This window comes from Homo sapiens, chromosome 2, assembly GCF_000001405.40.
Source record: "Homo sapiens chromosome 2, GRCh38.p14 Primary Assembly".
Taxonomy (NCBI): Eukaryota; Metazoa; Chordata; class Mammalia; order Primates; family Hominidae; genus Homo; species Homo sapiens.
The window spans coordinates 44467620-44474866 of NC_000002.12; the positions used below are offsets into that span (position 1 = coordinate 44467620).

The 7247-nt window shown below is 36.6% G+C and overlaps 1 protein-coding gene across 7 annotated transcripts in view; it reads left to right on the plus strand.

The window, feature by feature from the left end:
• Window positions 1-7247, plus strand: part of CAMKMT (calmodulin-lysine N-methyltransferase) — a 410646-nt gene that overhangs the window by 105673 nt on the left and 297726 nt on the right. The window lies entirely within an intron of this gene.

Consider the following 7247-nt stretch of genomic DNA (forward strand, 5'->3'; position numbering starts at 1 on the left):
GACAGTCAGCAAAACAATATGGTACTGGCATGAAAACTAACATGTAGACCAATAGAATACAGAACCAAGAAATAAGTTTGTGTATCTATAGCCAACTGATTTTTGAGAAAGGTATTCCAAAAATATGTTGAGGGGAAGGACAGTCTCTTCAGTAAATAGTGGTGGGAAAACTGGATATCCATATGTAGAAGAATGAAACTAGACTCCTAGTTCTCACCATGCACAAAAATCATCTCAAGATGGATTACGGACTCAAATATAAGACCCAAAACTATGAAACTACCAGAAGAAAGTATGGGAGAAATGCTTCAGGGCATTGGTCTGGGCAAAGATTTTATGGCTAAGACCTCAAAAACATAGGCAACAAAAGCAAAAATAGACAAATAGTATTATATAAAACTAAAAAGCTTTTGCACAACAGAATAAACAATCAACAGAGTGAAAAGACAACTGGAAGAATGGGAGACAATATTTGCAAACTATCCAACAAGAGTTTAATATCCAGAATATACAAGGAACTCAACAATTCAACAGCAAAAAAGCAAATAATCTAACAAAAATGAGGCTATAATCTGAATAGATATTTTTCAGCAGAAGTCATATTAAAGGCCAACAAGTATATGAAACAATGTTCCACATCACTGGTCATCAGGAAAGTATAAATCAAAACCATGATGATATATCATCTCTCACTCCAGGTACAATGGCTGTCAACGAAAAGACAAAAAATAACAAATGCTGGTGAGGATACAGAGAAGGGGGAGCTCATACACTGCTGGTGGGAATGTAGATTAATACAGCCATTATGGAAAACAGTATGGAGTTTCCTCAGAAAACTAAAAATGGAACTATCATATGATTCACCAGTATCACTGCTGGGTATATATCCAAAGTAATTGAAATCAGTATATTGAAGAGCTATCTGCACTCCCATGTTTATTGCAGCACTGTTCATAGTAGCCAAGATATGGAATCAATCTGTGTTCATCTAGAGATGGATAGATAAAGAAAATATAAGGCCAGGTGTGGTGGCTTATGCCTGTAATCCCAGCACTTTGGGAGGCTGAGGAGAGAGGATTGTTTGAACCTAGAAGTTTGAGACCAGCCTGAGCAACAAAGCAAGACCCAGTCTCTACAAAAATTACAAAAATTATTTGGGTATGGTGGTACATGCCTATAATCCTAGGTACTCAGGAGGCTGAGGTGGGAGGATTGCTTGAGCTGGGAGGTTGAGGCTGTGGTGAGCCATGATTGCTCCATTGTACTACAGCCTGGATGACAGAGTGTGAGACCCTGTCTCAAAAACAACAACAAAAAAACAAAGGAAAAGAAAGAAAAATGTATGTTCTCACTCGTGTGGAAGCTAAAAATGTTGATCTCATGGAAGTAGGGAATGGAAGGCTAGGAAGAGTAGGGTGAAGGAAGGTATTGGGAGAGGTTGGTTAATGTATACAATATTAAAGCTAGATGAGAGGAATCAGTTCTAGTGTTCTACAGCACTGTAGAGTGACTATCGTTAACAAAGAAATGATATATGTTTGAGGTAAGATATACTAATTACCCTGATTTGATCATTACACATTGTACATATATATCAAAGTATCATACTGTATCCATAAATGTGTACAATTACTATGTGTTAGTTAAATATAATAATAATTTTTTAAAAATTAGCTTATTTTTTCATTGAGTGTCTTAATCTATTTGGCTGTTGAATCTTATTAAACCTGATTTTTTTTTTGTTATAAATAATTTGGTCATGTTGTCTGAAAATCCAAAGATTGTGTATTTGGTGTGTGCCCTTTCAATGCGTAGCTTTAAGTATATTTCTTTGTTTATAAATTTTAGAAACATTTTCTTGGATGATAATTCCACATTTGTTGTAATCCATTACTTTTCTTTTTCAGGAGCTCCTCTTACATGTATGTTAAATCTTCTTCTTTGTGTTTCTTTATATGTTACTTTATCTCATGTTTATAATTGCTTTCTTAATTTGTTTTCTTTCCAAATTTTTTATTGTGTTAAAATGCACCTATCACAAAATTTACCATCTTAACCATTTTTTAGTATTCAGTGGTATTGAATACATACATAATGTTGTACGCTTATCATCACCATGCATCTGTCTCCTCACATTTTCAGTTTTTATTTTGTCTTTAATTGTATCCTTTTCATCTTCTATTACTTTTAAGGTATTATCAGTTACGTTTGTTTGCTCTCATGTTCCTTCTGGTTTTGTTTTCATTTTTGAAAAAAATTTCTTTCATTTCTAATTTTTTTTTGCATTTTATCACCTTATTTCTGGGTTTTCTAATTCTGATTTATATATTTAAATATCTTCTATTGCTTTCTTAATTTCTTCTAGCTTGTTTGGACATAATAAGTTAGATTTTCTATATAGATATTTTCTGTATCTATCCATAGATATAATTTTTCCCTTTATCTTTTTTTTTCTCTCTAATAAGAACTTTCCATGAGATTCAACTGTAATATTTCCTGCGGCTCATTTTAATGTAAAAGTAGTTATTCTAAATATTTAGGTAGGAGGGTTGTGTCAATATAGCTTTTGTAGCTTTCCAGTTCTAACATTCTCAATTCTGTTTTTAAAACTATGGCCTCATACTGTGAAGTTTCCTGGGTTTTCTCCTCTCCCATTTTTACCTGGGTCATTTCTTTGCTTTAATTCTATTGCCCCATCCTGCCCAATTTGCATTCCACTACCAGCCACTTGTCCTTTGTGAGGGCAGCTTCAGACCCTTTGTACTCTCACCTGTGAGTTGGAATGGGCAGTAGTGTCTCTCATTTTCAGTTGCTGTTCTCAAATTGGCCCTCCATGCTTCTCAAGGAATACCTTGGAAGGAGTTTACAATTTGGAGGTGTCTGGTTTCTTCCCACCTGTTTGTATTTTGTCATTCATGGAGATACCTTGTTATAGCTTTGTTGTAGATTGTCAAGGGGGTTTTGGTTATTCTACTTAAAAAGTACGTTTACTGTCTTTATTTAAGAAGCTGATTATTGAATTTTGCTATACATTAATAAAATGATATCCAGACAAAGTCATTGCTAATATATATGCATGTCTGTTTTTTCCTTCTCCAACAACCTTGCGTATTATCTGTCTTTTGAAATTGTCAGTTGGCAAAAAGTAATACCTTATTGAGTTCTTATTTACATTTATTGATTACTTATGAGATTAACCACTTTTCATGTATTTGAGGTCCACTTGCATTTTTTTCTATTGTAAATTAATTGTTCTTTTGTCAGTTTATCTGCTATGTTTATCTTTTTCTTATTGGATTTTGAGAGCTCTTTGAATATTAGGAATATTAATGTTTTGTTTTTCACTATTGTTAATGTTTCTTCTCTCTCTCTCTCTTTTTTTTTTTTTTTTTTTTGAGACAGTTTCGCTCTCTCACCCAGGCTGGAGTGCAGTGGTGCGATCTTGGCTCACTGCAACCTCCGCCTTCCGATTTCAAGCAATTCTCCTGCCTCAGCCTCCCAAGTATCTGGGATTACAGGCACCCGCCATCACACCTAAGTTTTGTATTTTTAGTAGAGACGGGGTTTCACCATGTTGGCCAGGCTGGTCTGAAACTCCTGACCTCAGGTGGTCTGCCTGCCTTGGCCTCCCAAAGTGCTGGCATTACAGGGGTGAGCCACCGCGCCCGGCTCTAATGTTTCTTCTCTAGCTGTTTGCTTTTAATGCTTTAAAAACATTTTTTTATAAAATTTTATGGAATAGCCAGGCACAGTGGATCACTTGAGTCTAGGAGTTTGAGACCAGCCAAGGCAACATAGCAAAACCCCGTCTCTAAAAAATATATACAAAATTTAGCTGGTGGTGGTGGTGGGTGCCTGTCGTCCCAGTTACTAGGGAGGTTGAGGTAGGTGGATCGCTTGAGTCAAGGAGGTGGAGGCTGCAGAGAGCCATGATTGTGCCAATACACTCTAGCCTGAGTAACAGAGCAAGACCCTGTCTCAGAAAAAAAATTAACTAACAAAAGAAAGAACATGACCTTGGAGTCAAGTAGTTAGATGGTATAGCTTAAGCATTTACTAGCTATGTGAGTTGAGTCAAATCACTCTTCTCTGATTCTTGATGTAAAGTATGGAGTCTCACTCTGTTGCCCAGACTGTCTGCAGCCTCCACCTCCCGGTTCAAGTAATTCTTGTGCCTCAGCCTCCCGTGTGGCTGAGATTAGAGGTGTGCACCACCACGCCTGGGTAATTTTTGTATTTTTAGTAGAAATGGGGTTTCTCCACATAGAGAAGACTGGTCTCAAACTACTGACCTCAAGTGATCCACCTGCCTGGGGCTCCCAAAGTGCTGGGATTACAGGCGTGAGCCACCATGCCTGGCCTAAAGTACTATTTTCAAATAGTACTTTAAGGGGTTGGTATGAAGATTTTCAAAAGAACTATTTATGATTCTTCCTAAAAGAATTAAATGGGCAATTATTTTTTGCTTTGAGATGGAGTCTCGCTCTGTTGCCCCGGCTGGAGTGCAGTGGTACAATCTCGGCTAACTGCAAGCTCCGCTCCCTGGGTTCACGCCATTCTTCTGCCTCAGCATCCCGAGTAGCTGGGACTACAGGTGCCCGCCACCACACCTGGCTAATTTTTTTGTGTGTTTTTAGTAGAGATGGGGTTTCACTCTGTTAGCCAGGATATTAAATGGGCAATTCTTTTTTAATCAGTGTATGAAATTTGCTTTGGAATTTCATTTGAATGATTATTTTTTATTGTGAAGAATAAATGAGATAATGTATATAAAGTACATACCATAGTAGTCAGCGAATAAATTGTAGCTATTACTACTGTTGCTGTGAGGCTCAATCTAATAACTTGTCTAAGGTTCGAACTTTTGCATCAGCCCCCAAAATCCTGTTTGTACTAAAATATACTATCTAAAAACATTCATAATACAAATATTCCATATATCCTCTTTCATTTTTAACAAAAATTTATGGATGATACAATGTAAGCAAGAACCTGAGGATACAAAAAAGTAAGACTTGGTGCCTGTCACCTAGGAGCCCACAGTTGGTAGAGAGGACGGGCAGATATAGGAAAGAAGAAATTGCTTTTCCTAAATTATGCATCCCAGAAAATAGCATTCTGGAGTGTGGTTTTGAACAGAATTCTATTCTGCAGATAGCAAAACATAAGTTACATGTTGATGAGATTAAATGTTCAAATCAAATAATGAAATATATTTATTTAGATACATTTAATGTCTTCTTATATAAGTTATCAAGTTGCATTTTTTCTAGCTGCATTTAAATCTATGTGCATTTCCTTCCTACTTCTCCTGAGATTGATATGCAGCCAGCATTTCAGTTACCAGCGTGAGGAATAAACCGGGAGAGAGGAAAGATAGTGAAGCAGCTGTCTTCCATTACAACGTGTCTAAATGGATAGTTCTACCATGATGTTTCTTTCAATTCCTTCCGGGTTTGGGTGAGAGGGGTGGAAGGAATGTTTCCATTGGTGAAATGGTAGCTGAACTGCCAAATGGTATGACCTGCTATCAACACTACTAAAAAGAAAATCAGAGACATGGATTATTATTGGCCAACATATGTTTTTTTGTGGGCATTTCCTTTGTGTTTCATTTTATGAAAAATGATAGGTATCGCATTAAAAAATCAAATAATTTATAATAATTGGAACCTCATTAGTAGATTTTACATTTTATATACCAAAATGTTAACAATCTATGTTTTAAAAATTAAACCTCCAACCACTAACAAATCAGAGCTAAAGAAATAATCCCATTATTGAAGAAGGATCATTGTGGTAGATTGAGTGCCAGAATTTTTTTTAAAAACAGTGCTATGTTTAGTACATTTTAGAAATAATTCCATAAAATGGTATGTTTTATAAGCGTGGATTTAGAGATAAATTATCTTGGGAAGGTAAGTTAACGAAGACAAATTCTGTTTAATATGTAATAACCAACTCTGGACAATGAAACCTTTCCATCCATGACTTTACTCTGTGTGGAATTTTTTAGTAGATACCTGAAGTTACAAAATATAAAAACAATCCTCTCTCCTTGGGGAAGTTACAGTTTAATGTGGAATAAGTAAACTCCACATTTAATGTAGAATAAGTATGGTAGAAACCCAATTGACAAAAGTTAAAACAGTTTATGCGGTGAGAATTCAACTACCTAGAGACTTGTGGACTTTCTAGAATCATTGTCTTCTGTGCCTGATCTTTGGTTATTACTGGGATACCCGTCATTTATCTCTGCCCTTCTTTTACAAACCTTTCAATCCGTAAACTGGGACCAGTTGTTCTATTTAGAGATTACCCATGAGGCACCATCCAAATTGAATACTACTAAGCAGCAATTACATGATTTATAGCAGAGATTATTTGGCTATTTGCAGCACAAGGCAAAGGAGAAGGAATATAATCTCCATTCACATATACCTGTGTGCATATACATGGTATATGTGCATCATAATAAACATCACAGTTCTTCTTTGGAATTGTGAAATATCCTCTGAACTTAATAGAAATTTAGTAAGCATTGGGCCGGGCGTCGTGGCTCACACCTGTAATCCCAGCACTTTGGGAGGCCGAGGCAGGCGGATCACCTGAGGTTAGGAGTTCATGACTAGCCTGGCAAACATAGTGAAACCCCATCTCTACTAAAAATACAAAAAATTAGCCGGGTGTGGTGGCAGGTGCCTATAATACCAGCTACTCGGGAGGCTGAGGCAGGAGAATTGCTTGAACCCAGGAGATGGAGGTTGCAGTGGGCTGAGATTGTGCCATTGCACTCCAGCCTGGGTGACAGAGCGAGACTCCGTCTCAAAAAAAAAAAAAAAAAGAAAAAGAAAAAAGAAATGTAGTAAGTATCGAGAGGTAAGTAGTGAGTAAGAGAGAGATAAAGAGGGAGAGCGAAATGCTAATTTTTTTCAAAGGAAATATAACCAAGTCAACATGAAAATCATTCTGTTACTATTTAATTCCTATATGTCTATCAACCCAACTAGACCTATAATCTCTAAGGCAGTGACTGCTTCCTTTCAGATTCAAATTCAGCAAACAACTGTGTTAAATGTTATTCCTGACCTTCCTCACTATGCCAGACCAAATGCTCCTCCCTGTACTCCAAATAACATTGCTTGATATCTCTATTAATTGCACTAACAGCACTGTAAATACATGGAAACCCTCTATGCTGCAATTCTCTATTTCCGTTTTTGCTCTCTATTCTGCTAAAATGTAAG